The 18523-nt window shown below is 41.6% G+C and overlaps 1 protein-coding gene across 5 annotated transcripts in view; it reads right to left on the bottom strand.

Moving 5' to 3' along the window:
* USP13 (ubiquitin specific peptidase 13) overlaps positions 1-18523 on the bottom strand; it is a 136362-nt gene that overhangs the window by 103435 nt on the left and 14404 nt on the right. For 3 of the 5 annotated variants that reach the window (NM_003940.3, XM_011513269.2, XM_017007425.2), the window contains exon 2: positions 3964-4089. The exons of the other annotated variants lie outside the window; for them this stretch is intronic. In NM_003940.3, coding sequence (NP_003931.2) covers positions 3964-4089 — 126 coding nt within the window. The remainder of the gene's footprint in view (positions 1-3963; positions 4090-18523) is intronic. 5 annotated transcript variants of the gene reach the window in all.

The raw sequence follows: 18523 nt of genomic DNA, 5'->3' as shown, positions 1-18523 counted from the left end.
CAGTTAAGGAGGCAAGACAGGAGAATAAAAGTCAGTTCAGGGTGCTGTGGATTACAGAATGTTGAAAAAAATGAATCATGAGAAGTAAGCTAAACAAGTCACGGGCCTGAAGGTCTTCAGGACCTACAACAAATGATCAAAATAGGAATAAATGAGTGAAAGAGCAAAAATGAGTAGAAATTTTGGTCAGAGAGTGAAACATTTAACTCAAAATTCCAGAGGCAGAGCTAACTGTACAAGTTTACCAGCATTCCACAGTTCTGCTGCTAACTTTGTGACCCTGAGCAAGTTACTAAGTCTCTGGGCCTCTGTTTCTTTCTTTTTTTTTTTTTTTTAGTTTTCTAAAATTTCATCACTTTATATTAAGTCACAAAACAGACTTCACAAGAATTATTAGGTACCACCTAACAGAATTAGTGAGTGGAAATCATTCAGTAGCAAGTCAAAATTATTTTGAACCTGATCATTGAGTTTATGCCTTATCTGACTTTCTGGCCTTTCTTCATTCTCTTCCTCCTGCTCTCCCCCTCTTCTTTGTTAGGAACTTAAACAGAGACTGTATTAGGAAGGCTAAGGTGAGAAATTAGAGAAACTTCAAATCAGCATTGACCATTGAGAAGATCCAAAATCGTGCACAAACTATTATAACTAAAGTAAAAGTTGAACAGCATTGCTAAATATAAAATCAACATTTATTAATTAACAATATTTCCAAATACCATCAATAACCAGTTAATGTGTAAAAAATAAAGGATGGCAGTAATGGTTAAAAAAAAAAATTATAGGGTACTAAAAAAAAAATCTAACAAAATATGAGTTCCTTTATAAAAAATTACAAAAATTATTGAATGACAAAAAGGAAATGTGAAAAAAGAGGTACGATATGTTAAATACTTAATAAATATTTATGAAGCACCTACTATATGCTAGGCACTGTTAAGTGCTAAGGACACAGCAGTGGACAAAACCAAAGAAAGTCCCTGCCCTCATAGAGCTTACACAAGGATGTGGATTATAGGTTAATCTATAAATTCAATGTGATTGTCATCAAAATCCCAATAGGATTTTTTAAGCTAGATGAACTAATTCCATAATCCATATAGAAAAATAAATGGCTAGAAATACCCAGGAAAATTCTGGAAAAAAAAATAAATATGGCTTCAACCACAGCATCAGAAAAAAAAAAAGAAAGAAAAATAAATAAACATGGAAAAAGTGCTTGCACTAAAAGATATCAAGGCTTGCCATACCAATGCAGAGACAGACAAATAAGATCAACAGAACACAACTGAGAGAGTGAAGAGAGACCCAAATGTGAACAGCAAGTTAAAATATAAAAAGGGTAGCCAGGCACAGTGGCTCTCAGCTGTAATCCCAGCACTTTGGGAGGCTGAGGCCAGTGGATTGCTTAGGCTCAGGAGCACAAGACGGAGCACCATGGTCACCTGGGAAACATGGCAAAACCCCATCTCTACAAAAAATACAGAAATTAGCCAGATGTTGTGACCCATGCCTGTGGTCTCAGCTACTTGGGGGGCTGAGGTGGGAGGATCACTTGAGCCCAGGAGGTTGAGGCTACAATGAGCCGTGGTGGCGCCACTGCACTCCAGCCTGGGTGACAGAGTGAGACCATGTCTCAAAAAACAAACAAAATGTGTGTGTGTGTGTGTGTGTGTGTGTGTGTGTGTGTGTGTGTAAAGGGTGATACTGCCAGGCGTGGTGGCTCATACCTGTAATCCCAGCACTTTGGGAGGCCGAAGGGGGCGGATCATGAGGTCGAGATAGCGAGACCATCCTGGCCAACATGGTGAAACCCTGTCTCTACTAAAAATACAAAAGTTAGCCGGGCATGGTGGCGCGCACCTGTAGTCCCAGCTACTCAGGAGGCTGAGGCAGGAGAATCACTTGAACCCAGGAGGCCGAGGTTGCAGTGAGCCAAGATCGCGCCACTGCACTCCAGCCTGGTGACAGAGAGAGACTCCGTCTCAAAAAATAAATAAATAAAACGAAAAGGGTGATACTATAAATTACTGGGAAAAGTTGTACTGCTCTATGAATAGTGAAACAACTGGTTATCAATATGAAAAAATAGATTCCCATTCTTCATACAAATACAAAAATAAGTTATAGATGGATTAAAGACCTAAAATGTTAAAACAGTCACGTTCACACACACTTAAATAAAAATTTAAAAACAACTGTAAAAAATGTGATATAGTTTGGCTGTGTCCCCACTCAAATCTCCTCTGGAATTATAACTCCCACAATTCCCCCATGTCATGGGAGGAATCCGGTGGGAGGTGATTGAATTATGGGGGCGGGTCTTTCCTGCACTGTTCTCATGATAGTGAACGAGTCTCATGAGATCTGATGGTTTTAAAAATGGGAATTTCCCTGCACAAGCTCTCTCTTTGCCTGCTACCATCCACGTAAGATGTGACTTGCTCCTTTTTGCCTTCTACCATGATTGTGACACCTCCCCAGCCACATGGAACTGTAAGTCTGTTAAACCTCTTTCTTTTGTAAATTGCCCAATCTTAAGTATGTCTTTATCAGCAACTGAAAACAGACTAGTATAAAATGTCTTTATGACCTTGAGGTAGGAAACAATTTCTTAGACAAGATACAAAAAGCACAACTCATACGACAAAAAGTTTAATAAATCTAACTAATTCAAAACTTACAACTTCTATTCTACAAAATAATTCATAAACAAAGTAAAACGACAAGCCACAGACTCAAAGGAAATTTAGTAAGGCACAGACTCAAAGGAAATCTAGTATGTAACAAACAAAGGTTTGGTATCCAGAATGTAAAAATAACTCATCACACTTATAAGAAAAAGATAAATCCATAAAGAAATAGGCCAAAAATATAAATAGGCAAATCCAACAAGAAAAAAAAAAAACCAGAATAGAAAGTACAAAGAGATGTGCCAAATATTTAGATGCCACTTCATCTAAATATTTGGCAAAAACAGAACTCTGACCAAGGGTTGGTGAGGGTGTGGGAAAGCAAGAAATCATAATTATTGCAGATCAGAGTGTAAATAGGTACAATCACTCTGGGGAGAGACTTGGCACTATCTAATAAAAACAAAGATAAGCATAACATGAGCCTGCACTACCACTTCCAGATCTATTTCCTGAAGAACTCTGGCACATGTACCCCCAGGTGAAGTGTATAAAAATGTTAATTGCTGCATTCTTTACAGTAGCAAAAAATAGAAATGATCTAAATGTTCATCAATACGAGAAGAAAATAAATTACAAGGTACTCATAAGATGAAAAACCAAACTATTGAAATGAATTAAATACATCCAGATGTATCTCGACATGGACAGATTCCAAAAGAAATGAAACATTTGGATGCCGAGGGGAAAAACTCTTCACAGAATTATAGTTAGGCGTATGATAGCATTTATCTACATCTTTAAAACATATAAAGTTATACTATATATTGTTCTTGAATATGCATTTGTTAATAAAATATAATGGCATGCATGACACAGAAAAAGTTCAAAGCAGTGGTTACTTCTGGCGAGGGAGAGGGACAAAAGGAACTTGAATTTTTAAGGAAGCTCTATTTCTTATACTAAAAAACAAAACAAAACACATCTGAAGCAGGAACATTCAAATGGTTTTTTTTTATGATTTTTGGATCCATGGGTGTCTCTGTACTTTTCTGTATTTTTAAACCTAGTTTCGGTTTTTTTTTTCCAATTAGTCAATCTATGTATTCTTAAAAACACCAATCAGAAGTTTAGAGGAAGAAAAATAAAACTGGTTACGATAAGGTTTGGGAGACTCTCTGGATTTTGCAAGCAGTGCTGTTTTTGTTTCTCATCGTCAAAGGGAATCGGAAGTTATGTGGGCATGGTCAAATTTCCACGTGAGAAAGCACACTGAGACAACGTTACAGGGAAGACATCAAGGCCAGTTCTCTGAAAGTGCCGCTCTCACCTCTCGCACATGTCTTTTCAGGTGCATGTATACACTCTGTCCAGTTTTTCGAAAATGTCTTTCAACATGTTCCCTTCCAAAGGCCAAAAATGTATTCATGCATACATAGAGTCCACCTTCAGAATTCTAGAAGAAAGAGAAAAAGTACATTAGCCGACGACACCTAGCCCAGTAGTCAGATGTAGAAAGAGGGAAAGGGAAGGAAGGCAAACGCTGAAGACGAGGCCTGGCAAAGGGCCACCGAGGCTCCTGCTGTGATACCCTACCTTGTTTTAACCCAAGTGACTCTGTCCTAGCAGACAGAGAGCCGGACAGACTCCATTTTAGTTTCTTCACTTGCAGCCCCCTTTCACCCCCCTCCCTTAAGGCGTAACTAGTGTAAACTGACTCAAAGCACGTCCAGGAATGTACCTACTGATAAGATATTGAGGCAAGCTGCACCGCCAGCTCCTGAGGACGCGCTCGGTGGATGGCACCCAAAACCCCTGCATTTATCTCTTTGTGATAGTTTAAGCCCCTGCACCTGGAACTGTTTATTTTTTGTAACTACATTTGTAACCAATTACTTTTTTAACTTTTTGCCAGTTCTGCTTCTGTAAAAATTGCTTCAGCTAAAATCCCCCCTCGCCTATTTAGACCACAGTATAGAAACAAAACTAGCCCCTTCCTCAGGGGCCGAGAGAATTTTTAGCGTTAGCTGCCTCTCGGTCGCCAGCTAATAAAGGACTCTTTAATTTGTCTCAAAGTGTGGCGTTTCTCTGTAACTCGCTTGGTCACAACACTGTAGTCATCATCAATGACTATTCGGCAGCTCCACAGACACCCACAGCGGTGGCTTCACCCCAGCCCTGGCTCCAAGTGCTCCTATGGACAGCCGAGCAATCGTTTCCCAAATGCTGGCTACGTTCACAGTGAGGTTCTCACCTCAGAGGCTCTAGGAAATAAACATGCTTGTCTGACAATAGAGCAAAGGAAGAGAAAGATAGAAGAAAGTTGGCAAAATTTTCACTGTGATATTTTATTATCGTTCTTCCTCATTCATTGGTGAGGAATGCAAAGTTTTAGGTCCTTTTAGCAGGAAAGGGTTCTTCAAAGATATTATTCCCTTCTTTTGGTGACACATGATATTTGACAGTATTCATGAATAAACTATAACAATGTAGCGCCGGGCACGGTGACTCATGCCTGTAATCCCAGCACTTTGGGAGGCTGAGACAGGCGGATCACGAGGTCAAGAGTTCAAGAACAGCCTGGCCAACATGGTGAAACCCCGTCTCTACTAAGAATACAAAAATTAGCCGGGCGTGGTGGTGCGTGCCTGTAATCCCAGCTACTCGGTAGGCTGAGGCAGGAGAATCGCTTGAACCTGGGAGGTGGAGGTTGCAGTGAGCTAAGTGCCACTGCACTCCAGCCTGGGTGACAAAGCAAGACTCTGTCTTGGGGGAAAAAAAAATGTAATAAATACAGCTTGAATATCTCTAATCCAAAAGTCTGAAATGCTTCAATGAGCATTTTTGTTAAAGCATCATGTTGCTGTTCAAAAAGTTTCAGATTTTGGAGCATTCTGGATTTCCGATTTTCAGATTAGGGATGCTGAACTAGTAAATATAATGCAAATATTCCAAGATCCAAAAAATTTAAAAATCTGAAACACTTCTAGTGCCAAGCATTTCAGATAAGGGATGCTCAATCTGCAATAACAATAAGTACATAATAAAGGATGAAATCTTATAATGCACGTTATTGCATGTCTGATATGCTTCATGTATATTGTTCTCTTTCTCTCTCTCTCTCTTTCTTTTTGTTGTTGTTGTTGTTGTTGTTGTTGTTTTCAACAGCGTCTCACTCTGTTCCCCAGGCTGGAGTGTAATGGCAGGATCCCGGCTCACTGCAGCCTCAGTCTCCTGGGCCCAAGATCCTCCCACTTCAGCTTCCCAAGTAGCTGGGACTATAGGCACGTGCCACCATACCCAGCTAATTTTTGCATTTCTTGTAGAGATAGGGTTTTGCCATGTTGCCTAGGCTGGTCTCAAACTCCTGGGCTCAAGCAATCCGCCCACTTAAGCCTCCTAAAGTGTTGGGATTACAGGTGTGAGCCACCATGCCCATCTTATGTATATGTATATTATTTCTAATGCTAACCACTGCAAGTTGCTTATTGTTATTTCTACTTAACAGTATCAAAAAAAAAAAAAAAAAAAAAAAAAAACTAAGGATAGGTCACTTACCCAAGTTCACACAGCATGGAAGTGTTAGAGTTGAATCTATTTCTCCTTTTATCCCTCTATGCCACATTTCAAAGCACATAATATTATTTAGTTAAAGACATACTGCTACAATGAACAGTCAAGGATATGTCTGAATTTTAGATACTTGATTTTCTATCTTAATTTCATCTCTTGTTTTCTCTCACTTTGCTTAACATGCTTTTCTGTAAACTTAGGCTACAAAATTAGCCAACCTTTCCTCAAAGGAAGTGGATTTTCTTAAGCTATGGTTAGTCTCACCTGTCCAAATAATAAAAATAATAATAATAAAATAATGTAAAACTAACTTTTGAATGCCTGTCAAAATTGCCAATAAATACCTTACAAAATTCCTTACAGTGCATTTCAGTAGAGCACAAAGTACAATATCAAAACAAACATTGATGTTTATTACAAATATATTTAAAAATTGTTTAAAATTCCAATAATTTTGTTTAAAATTTGTTTAAATTCCAATAAAAATTGTTTAAAATTTGTTTGTTTAAAATTTATTTGTTTAAAATTTGTTTAAATTCCAATAAAATTTTTTAAATTCCAAAAAATTGTTTAAAATTCCAATAATTGTTTAAAACTCCAATAAAGATTGTTAACTTAAACAATTTTCTAATAATCAAATTCTCTAACATTGTATCTGGAATTTCTAAGTGAGGATATAAACAGTCCTCTCACAATGTGAACACTTAACAGCATTAACTCAAGTATGTGCCTCCTACTGTAGCATATACATTGCAATAAGCAAACTAAATAAATAAATAAATAAAAGGTATAAAGATCACAAAGAAAGAAGTAAAGTGGTCTCTATTTCCTAATGACAGTACAGGCCATATTGAAAATTCTAAGGAATCTACACACACTAGTGAAAATAACAACTAGTAAGAGCAATAAGTGAATTTAGCAAGATCACAGGATACAAGTTAATAGACCAGAGTCAACTGCAGTTTCAGACATTAGCAACAAACACTTGCAAATGAAATTTTTAAAGCTTGACTTCAAAACAGCATCCAATCCCAGCATTTTGGGAGGCTGAGGCAGGCAGATTGTTTGAGCCCAGGAGTTCAAGACCAGTCTGGGCAACATGGAGAAACCCTGTCTCTACAAAAAAATAATAATACAAAAATTAGCCAGCCTTTTGTCCCAGCTACTTAGGAGGCTGAGGTGGGAGGGTCACTTTAGCCCAGGGAGGTCAAGGTTGCAGTGAGCCATGATTGTGCCATCCAGCCTGGGTGACAGAAAGAGACCCTGTCTCAAAAAAAAAAAATAGCATCCAAAAAAGCTTATAATTATAATATAGCTTGTGCTTGTGGATAACTTTTCTGCCTTTACCTGAAATCATTTAAATAAAATTAGAAAAGTCCTTCAACTAGAGACAACACATTACATGCATTTAATCAACAGATTAGGTAAGTATTTTCAAGAGTTTTCTAAATAAACATGTTCTTTGGATAGATAGACCTCCTAAGAAAAACATACTGCATCACTATAATAGTCAATTATTCATTAAATCCATTGTGATTTTTTTAAAAAGTTCCATTCTCTTCTAATAAAATGTAATTCAGTCAATGAATTTGAACCAGAAGATTTACTGGGGAAAATATGGGATCTGTAATAGAGGTCATGCTCTGTCACCAGCTAGCTCTCTGGCCTAAGGCAGGCTGCCATATAGGGCTCTGAGCTCCAGTGTTCTCCTCTATAAACATGGCCGTAGCAATAATTCCCACGACACAGAGTTGCATGAAATTTAAAGGGGGTGAAATATATCAAAGTGCTTTCTGTGCTATATGGCAATACATAAATGTTGTTTATTATACATTATGGGCTAATTATTATTATCTCATTATCTGAATCATTTTATAATTGGGGAAAACAAGCAGGAGGAAGAATAAGTGAGTCTGACAGCCACATAGGCTGGGAGTAACAAATATTAATCTGTCAGAAAAAAACACTAGGCAACTAGTAGAAGAACCAAGAAATTAGCAATCAGAAGAACAAAAATGTTCAAGGACAGTATTTTTCTAAAGAAAAATATAGAAATACTCTATATCCAAGAGTCTATAGTTTCTTAAGTAATCATAGTCTTTGCTAATTTCATTGTCAAGAGTTTTTTACTTATTAGGGAATCTGATGGAAATTTATTTTATTTTATTTTATTTTATTTTCTCATTGAATTTTGTTCTTGTTGCCCAGGCTGGAATGCAATGGCGCGATCTTGGCTCAACGCAACCTCCACCTCCTGGGTTCAAGTGATTCTCCTGCCTCAGCCTCCCAAGTATCTGGGATTAGAGGCATGCGCCACGACACCCGGCTAATGTTGTATTTTCAGTAGAGACGGGGTTTCTCCATGTTAGCCAGGCTGGTCTGCAATTCCTGACCTTGTTATCCACCCACCTCGGCCTCCCAAAGTGCTGGGATTACAGCGTGAGCCACTGCACCCGGCCAGAAATTTAACATACCAGACATGAATTCTCAATTTCTGAAGCCGCTTGATAATGTCACGAAGTCCATAATCAAAGAGAAAAATTATTTGACACTCAGAGAGGAATGGCCACATAAGGAAGGATTTCATTATAACATCAACAGGTGGCCGGGCACAGTGGCTCACGCCTGTAATTCCAGCACTTTGGGAGGCCGAGGCAGGTGGATCATTTGAGGTCAGGAGTTCGAGACCAGCCTGACCAACGTGGTAAAATCCAGTCTCTACTAAAAATACAAAACTTAGCTAGGCATGGTGGCAGGTGCCTGTAATCCAGCTACTTGGGAGGCTGAGGCAGGAGAATCGCTTGAACCCAGGAGGCAGAGATTGCAGTGAGCCGAGATCATGCCACTGCACGCCAGCCTGCGCAATAGAGCGAGGAAAAAAAACATCAACAGGCATGTTCCACTGGACACCAAGGCTGGCCACAGAGGTAGTGTGTGCCCCTTTACATGGCCAGTGCTGACAGGGAGGCACTGCCCAATACATTCACCAGTAGTTCTTAAAATTCAGGGAACATTAACACAGAAAACCCTTTCAAACCTGTCACATATAGAACAAACAAACACCCCAGTCTAATAATCCATGCTTTCTTCTCTCTTGCCCTATTAATACCTAAATATTGGTCCTATCATACACTGTCTTTCACATACAGAGTCAGCACCCGATGGCCTCTGCTCCCAACAGCTTCTTTCAATCCTGATAAAAAGTCTATGTGGATAACTGTCTCCCAATTTCCTTGTGACCAAAGCACAGAGAATGGTATACAGCCCACAATCAAGCTAAGCTTCTTGACTCACAGTTTCAAACCCTCAACCTCATCCTCTCATTAACCAGCCATCTTCTCACTAAGATCACCACCCAAGAAAGCATGGTAAAGCGCATGCCTCCATGTGGACAAAAGGGCAGCCAAGCAATCAGGCCAGGTTCAAGATGACAGTGAAATGCAACTGGAAGAATCAAAGGACAGTGTATGAGTCCATTCTCACACTACTATAATGAAACACCCGAGACTGGGTAATTTATAAAGGAAAGAGGTTTAACTGACTCACAGTTCCGCATGGCTGGGAAGGCCTCAGGAAACAAAATCATGGCGGAAGGTGAAGGGAAAGAAAGGCACCTTCTTCACAGGGCGGCTGGAAGGAGAAGTGCTGAGCAAAGGGGGAAAAGCTCCTTATAAAACCATCAGATCTCATGAAAATTCACTCACTATCACGAGAACAGGATGGGGGTTACCAACCCCATGATTCAATTATCTCCCACCAGGTCCCTCCTACGACATGTGGGGATTATGGGAACTACAATTCAAAGATAAGATTTGGGTGGGGACACAGCCAAACCATATCAGGCAGGATACAAAATAAAACTTTTTTTAAAGTAATGGTGGTAGACAGCTCTATTAAATTAAAATAGATTACAGGCTGGGCACAGTGGCTCAAGCCTGTAATCCCAGCACTTTGGGAGGCCAAGATGGGCAGATCACTTGAGGCCAGGAGTTCCAGACCAGCCTGGACAACATGGTGAAACCTCATTGCTACTAAAAACACAAAAATTAGCCAGGCGTGGCGGAACACGCTTCTAGTCCCAGCTACTCAGGAGGCTGAGGCAGGAGAATTCCTTGAACCCGGGAGGCAGGGGTTGCAGTGAGCTGAGATCATGCCACTGCACTCCAGCTTGGGCAACAGAGCGAGACTCCATCTCAATAATAATAATAATAATAATAATAATAAAATAGGTTACAGATAAAACTCATATAGCATTGGGTAAATTTTTTTAAAATATTAATGGTAGCATAAGAATGGAGGCCCCACAAATATATTCATTCTAAGATAACTATTTAATATATGTCAAATCACAGGAGATACAAAAATGCAGAAAAGAATCACCAATAAAAGTTACTAGGAAAATTAACATCAGTATAGAAGAAAATTAACCTAGATCTACAACTTATACGAAACATGGTAATAAAGTCCAAATAGATCCAAGAAATAAGCAATTACAAAACTAAAAAGAGCAGACTCATATATTCAGCCCACTTTTAAAAGGGAATGTCAACATTCAAGTTCAACTTAAGAAATTTTTTTTTTTTTTTGAGATGGAGTGTCACTCTGTCGCCCAGGCTGGAGTACAGTGGCGTGATCTCTGCTCACTGCAAACTCCACCTCCCGGGTTCACACCATTCTCCTGCCTCAGCCTCCCGAGTAGCTGGGACTACAGGCGCCCGCCACCATGCCTGGCTAATTTTTTGTATTTTTAGTAGAGACAGGGTTTCACCGTGTTAGCCAGGATGGTCTCAATCTCCTGACCTTGTGATCGATCCACCTGCCTCGGCTTCCCAAAGTGCTAGGAAAGAATTTTTTAAAAAACCATTTAGTTTCCAATGTGAGAAAATATTAAAATCAAACCATCACATCCTCACAACCCCCTTAAGTAGGCATATTAAAACAATCTCAAGGCACAGGTACATGCCTCATAAACCAGCAAAAACTGTTAAAATTGCACAGCCTGAAGCCACAGAGAAAACCCGTATATCCTCTCCTACAATATAAATCGGCTCAGCCTTTCTAGAGAGCAAAAAAACAGTGACCCTTTGGCACAGTATTTCCCCTCTGGGTACAGGCCCGAGAGAAGAATTAAAAAAAAAAACTAATTTGTGCAAAAATATTCACACATGCAGTATCTATAATAAAATAATGTAGCAATGGCCCCAAATAGAGGAGTTAAGAAACTGTGACATATAAGCACAAGAAAATACTGCAACATTATTTAAAAAGACAAAGTTATGAATTGTGTGTAATGAGTCTTGCTTGGTCTACAGTGGTGCTTCTCCAACTATTGTCACGATGGATGAGGTTGTTTTTGTTTTTTGTTTTGTGTTGTTTTCATTTGTTAAGGAAAGACACATGTTCCCACTGCACATGACTAGTTCAAAGCTCCAGCCAGATATGGTCTTACTCACCACACACCTTAAGTTCCACAAAACCCAAACTGGTCTATGTCCTGGGCAAACAGATCCACTGGTCACACACTTGGCTGTGGCTGCAATGTCAAGTTGCTATACAAATCTCAAAACAGGCCGGGCGCAGTGGCTCACACCTGTAATCCCAACACTTTGGGAGGCTGAGGCGGGTGAATCACCTGAGGTCAGGAGTTCGAGACCAGCCTGGCCAACATGGAGAAACCCCGCCTCTACTAAAAATACAAAATTAGCCGGGCGTAGTGGCACATGCCTGTAATCCCAGCTACTCAGGAAGGCTGAGGCAGGAGAATCGTTTGAACCCGAAAGGCGGAGGTTGCGGTGAGCCAAGATCGCGCCATTGCACTCCAGCCTGGGCAACAAGAGCGAAACTCCGTCTCAAGAAAAAAACGAAAGAAAGAAATCTCGAAACACTACTCTTAGTGTTGTACTCATCTCTCAGCCCAGTCAGCTGACACACTTTAGGTAGCACTTGTCTAGGGCTAGGTGAACTCGGCCCAAGTCTAAGAGTGTCTCACCCGCCAGGAAAGCATTATCTAAAAGACTTTCAGGACACAAGGTCAGGCCTGCAGCCTTCACAGCAGCCCCATCAATGCCTCCTCACTGCAGGCGCTTCCCAAACGCCACACTCTGCCAGTCTCTGCCCAGGAACTACTCCCACATCTCCCTGCTCAGCCCCTCTTCTGACAGTCCTTGACCCTAAATCTGCTTTCATTTCACAATCAGTGTCATGCTCATTGAAATCTATCGCTATGAGAAACCCAGGCTTCCTTGAGTTTGCCGCCAGTACCTTTAGAAGCTGAAATACACATTTGCTCCTTGAAGGCAGGAAAATTGTATCATTTATTGCTGAATCCTAAAAATAGTACCTGGTACAGGGCAGGGGGGGCAGGAAAACTGTGTCATATTCACCACTGAATCCCAAAAACAGTACCTGCTACAGGGCAGGATTGAACAAACTTTTGTAGGATGAATGATAGTTTTTGTCTCCACTATTTGTTATTGGGTCTCTCTCTCTCAAACTATTCCTCAGTGCCCTTCTGATCTGAATTTAAAATGCATCATAATACAGCTTCCACTTAAAGTCTCTGGCACGACTAAACAATGGGAATTCTCAAAATAAAACTCATGGCCACGCATAGAAAAACAGCCTGAGGCACCAGCAGAAATTCTAGCTTTTCAGGTTTGTTTGGCTGAAGTCACTCTTAGCAGCCTGGACACTTGAACCCTACTGCCCCAGCTCTCCCACCTGCTGTAACCAAGCCAGTCTCACATGGTTCTTCAGGAAAGTGGCTGCCTTCTCTGCACCACCGTCCCACCTTGGATCCTACCTGCCTCCGGTGCTCAGAGGACACCCAGCCCAGAATGACCAATGTGCAGTTCTGTGCACAATCCTAAGCTAAATAGGATTCTAATGATCATTTTTATGATGCACTAACCAGAAATTTGACCAAGATGCAAGACTTTGACATCCAAAATCAGAAGAAAGTCAAGAAATACTGCACAGGGCTCTATAATGATTTCCCTTGACAACTTCTCCAGCCCCATAATCAAACGGTAAGAAAGGAGCAGCACTGGCCGGGTTCAGAGGCTCACGCCTGTAATCCCATCACTTTGGGAGGCAGGTCAGGAGATCAAGCCCATCCTGGCCAACATGGTGAAACCCCATCTCTACTAAAATACCAAGAAATTAGCCGGGAATAGTGGTACACACCTGTAGTCCCAGCTAACAAAAAAATTAGCCGCGCATGGTGGTACACACCTGTAGTCCCAGCTATTCAGTAGGCTGAGGCAGGGGAATTGCTTGAACCCGGCAGGCAGAGATTGCAGTGAGCCAAGATCGCGCCATTGCACTCCAGACTGGCAACAGAGCGACACACTGTCTCAAAAAAAAAAAAAGAAAAAAAAAGAAAAAGAAAGGAGCAGCATTAGAAGCCCCATGTATTGTTAAAATCCTGTCTTCAATGCATTTCAATATACATACAGTATATACTTAGCCATTCATTTGCTACTTTGTATTGTATCCCTCTATGTACTATTCAGAAATAACATCAAAGACAAAGTCACTGATTTTATATTGCCTGCCGTTTAAAAGAATGTTAAAACGGTGGCAAATATAAAGGTCAAGATTGCAACATGTTTCAGAGTAGCAAGTGAATAGTCATTTTAAATAAAAATACACTACTTTGTCAATCGGTAGGTGTTCAGAGAACTTTGTTTATGATGATGTTTTCTTGGCAACCAGCCTTCCCACTGGAAGACAGGAAGGGAGCATGAGCTTATGTGAGCAACGCGCTCAGGAAACAGTCGCTGCGTAACACTTGTTTTTATAACTACAGAACAGTGTCTCCTGTGGAAAACAAGCGGTCATTGCTGCAAAGAGAAACATGATGTAGGTAGATGGAGTCACAACAAATCCACGCCAGGACAAATCACATACTAACACCGCGGGAAGACGGTGACTCACACACCCTTGGAAAAGGAAGGCCAAGAAGACCAGAACACCGTATTTTCTAGAACATCGACTCAAAAAAGAGCGGACAGGAAAAAAAAATTAACCAAATGAGCTGCTTGTAATTATAAAAAGAAGTAACCCAAATGGCCAAGAACAGATTTGCCAAATAATTTATGGTACCTCCATGAAATGTAACACTCTTCAGCTATTTAAAATTGACTTGTGGATGAGTATTTACTGATAGAAAAATAAGTACATAGTATTTTTGGGCTAAGAAAGCAGGTAACAAAACACTGTGTATGATGTTATAATATACATGACATGCACACTCTTCCTGGCGTATGTTGTTATCTCAGCATGGGGAGACAATGTGGGAATTTTTTTTCTTCCTGTTTTCTTCTGGTATTTTTAAATTTCTCTTCAGGAACATAGATTCATTTTTTAATTAAAATATAAATAAAAGTTTTTTAACTGAATGTATTTAGATATGCTCCCTTTTCTCAAACCTGGCTTCCCAACCACACAGCTTTATGGGGGCTGTATATTCCCACTACTCAAAGTAAAGCATGGTGGCAATAACTTGAGATTTTAATTTTTTATCTTTGAGAGAGTCTCACTCTGTTGCCCAGAAATGCAGTGGAGCCATCTCTGCCTCCCGGGTTCAAGGGTTTCTCCTGCCTCAGCCTCCCAAGTAGCTGGGATTACTGGTGCCCACCACCACACCTGGTTAATTTTTGTATTTTTAGTAGAGACGGGGTTTCGACATGTTGTCCAGACTGGTCTCGAACTCCAGATCTCAAGTGATCCACCCATCTTGGCCTCCGAAAGTGCTGGGATTGGCCGGACATGGTGGTTCACACCTGTAATCCCAGCACTTTGTGAGGCCGAGACAGACGGATCACCTGAGGTCAGGAGTTCGAGCCAGCTTGGCCAACATGGTAAAACCCCGTCTCTACCAAAAATACAAAAATTAGCCAGGCATGGTGGCACACACCTGTAATCCCAGCTACTCGGGAGGCTGAGGCAGAAGAATCGCTAGAACCCAGGAGGCAGAGGTTGCAGTGAGCGGAGATCATGCCACTGCACTCCAGCCTAGGTGACAGAGCGAGAATCTGTCTCAAAAAAAATAAAAAAATAAAAAAATTGCTGGATTACAGGCATGAGCCACTGCGCCCGGCCAATAATTTGATATTAATAAGAGAATATCTTGAGATTTGTAGCTGAGGAAATTCAGGAACAAGTAAAATAGAGGTGATACGGCGTGTAACCTCAGGGAGGCAAATGAGACTGTGATTACAACTGGGAAAAATGAAACTAATCGGGAACACTGTACTCTAGTTGGCTCCCACTCATGTTTACAAAAGGGGATGCTCAATGTGGAGAATGGAAAAGAAGCCGTGAGAGTGAGGCCGTGATGTCTTCTCTAGAGGCAAAAGAAGGCCATGGGGGTGAGCGGCAGAAGGAATGTGTTCAGTCCCTCAATGCAAGACATCAGAGACCCAGCAAGGGTGGTGCCCTAATGACATTTAAGTCCTAGTAAAGAGAGACAGGCAACACGCAAGAAAGAGACATCGAAGATAATTTCCAGCAGTGATAAGAGGAGCCTGAGGATTGGGGTCTTTATACAGATGGGGGACAGGGTTGTCTCTAGGAGGCTGAGACTTCAAAGATGATGAGCAGTCAGGCAAGCAAAGAAGGAAGAGTACCCTCTCCAGATGCAAAAGCATGTGCAAAGGTCCCCACTCCAGAAAAGGCTTGGCTACTGCTTTGAGGGTAGGAAGCCAGCAGGGTCCTGGAGAAGCATGAGAAAAAGGTGGCGACAGTACAGGAGGAGAGGGCTGCAAAGGTCAGCTCAAGGAAGCCTGGCACGCCAGGGGAGAGCTGGGTGCACACTGGGCAGAAGCAAAGCCACTGGAGGCTTCTAAAGTGAGAAGTGCCATGATCTCATCTACATTTTTCAAAGATCACTCTGGCTACTGTGGAAGAATTATGGAGGGGGGGGTCAAGAAAATATACATTTGAGAGGCTATAGTCTAGACCCACACTGTCTAATATGGTAGCCACCAGCCACATGTGCATATTTAAATTTAAATTAAGTTAAATTAAAAATTCAGTTCCTCTACCGCACTGGCCACATTTCAAGTGCTCAACAGCCAAAGATGGCTAGTGGCTACCTTACTGGACAGCTGAGACACAAAACAATTCCATCATCTCAGAAAGTTCTTTTAGACAGCCTCTGTCTAAACAAGGCCAGATGGTGGCTTAGCCTGGGGAAGATGGCAGGAGGAGGAGGGAAGGGGGCTGACAGCAGAGACAGGGAAACGGGCAGTGTCAGGATATTATTTTTTTTATTTATTTATTTAATTTTTTTTTTTTGAGACGGAGTCTTGCTCTTTTGCCCAGGCTGGAGTCCAGTGGCGCAATCTCAGCTCACTGCACCTCTGCCTCCTGAGTTCAAGAGATTCTCGTGCCTCAGCATCCCAAGTAGCTGGGACCACAGGCGTGTGCCGCCATGCTGGCTAATTTTTGTATTTTTAGTAGAGATGGAGTTTCACCATGTTGGCTAGGCTGGTCTCAAACTCCTGACCTCAGGTGATCTGCTTGCCTTGGCCTCCCAAAGTGCTGGGATTAGAGGCGTGAGCCACCGCGCCCAGCCAGGATATAATTTTAGGATAGAGCGCACTAGCCCAGGAGGTGGATTAGATGTAGAGGCATGTGGAAAAGGGTGGAAGTGAGGACAACTCCTAATGGTTCTGATTCATTACTGAGTCCATAAGAGCACCCTCCTGTCTCTGCCCAACTTTTGCTTTCATCAAGCCACCACCTACCTATTAATTCAACCTCTCAGGTACTTCCATGTCCGAATGAAAGACATGAGTGTTCCAATAACCAGAGCACAGATCTCCAGTATATTCTCGCTTCTAGAGCAAACCAGACAAGAGTTTTAAAATGCAAAAATTAAGCACCCATAAATAAGAAGCAAATGAGCAAATTAATCACCCATAGATAAGAAGCAGGTGAACAATAAGAAAGTAAAACAAGATTCCAGATCAAGGGCAGCAAGCACACAGAAGGGGGAAATATAATGGAGAAAAAGCACTATCAGAAGATAGGACTGGGCGCAGTGGCTCATGCCTGTAATCTCAGCACTTTGGGAGGCCAAGGCAGGAGACCTACTTAAGCCCAGGAGGTCAAGGTTGCAGTGAGCCAAGATCACACCACTGCACTCTAGCCTGGACAACAGAGTGAGACCTTGTCTCAAAAAACAAATAAACAGAGAAAGAAAGAAAATAGACTGGATAGCAGGGAATAACCAAACAGGTCACCAGTAAAACAGAATTACCAGCATACAATAGTTGCAAAATCCAAAATCTTGGTTTCAACAGCAGATCCATTGAAGTAAATGTGTTCACATAAACTAAGTAGGAAAGAACAAACGCATGTAATCCCAGGAGAGTATAGGCCTTACTGCTAAACACTGATAAAACATCTGTGGCCATGAAATGTTAAGAAAAAACCAGAAATATTAATCCAGCAGCAGGCATGGTGGTGCACACCTGTAGTCCCAGCTACTCAAAAGGCTGAGGCGGGAGGACCACTTGAGCCCAGGAGGTCGATGCCAGCCTGGGCAGCATAGCGAGACCCCATCTCTAAAAAAAATATAAATAAATAAATGTTGAAATGTTAATGCAGTAATGATTCCTCCAGCTTGCTCTGACTTTGGGTGTCTCCCTTTCTGCAGAGGACTCCTACGCATTAGAGCTGTACAGCCTGGTCCTGCACAGCTAAAGGCAGAGGCTGAACAACTAAGTTTTGACTACACTATAAACTTACTGTTCTACTGAGGCATCATTTATTAACTTTTTTGGTAAGTATAAAACCGAATCAGCCGGGCACGGTGGCTCACACCTGTAATCCCAGCACTTCGGCAGGCCAAAGCGGCCAGATCACCTGAGGTCAGGAATTCGAGACCAGCCTTACCAATATGGAGAAACCCCGTCTCTACTAAAAATATAAAAATTAGCCAGGTGTGGTGACGCATGCCTGTTAATCCCAGCTACTCAGGAGGCTGAGACAGAAGAATCACTTGAACCCAGGAGACAGAGGTTGCGGCGAGCCGAGATTGCTCCATTGCACTCCAGACTGGGCAAGAAGAGCGAAACTCTGTCTCAAAAAAAAGAATCATTCTTCTGGGTATTTTGAGCAATGAGGATGCTGTCCCCCACTGCAGCTGGGGAAGGCCAGGGGCAGGGCACGAGGTCCAGCTACTACAACAGTTTCAGGACAAATGGGGAACATGGAAACCATCGGCATACGAACACACTCAACTGAGCACCTGCAGCAGTTCCCGGCTTACACATACAAAAAGAAAATGTGAAACCACCTTGTCA

The sequence above is a fragment of the Homo sapiens genome, chromosome 3 (assembly GCF_000001405.40).
Source record: "Homo sapiens chromosome 3, GRCh38.p14 Primary Assembly".
Classification (NCBI taxonomy): domain Eukaryota; kingdom Metazoa; phylum Chordata; class Mammalia; order Primates; family Hominidae; genus Homo; species Homo sapiens.
Note: the sequence above shows the minus strand (reverse complement) of the source record. Positions and strands in the feature narration are given on the sequence as shown.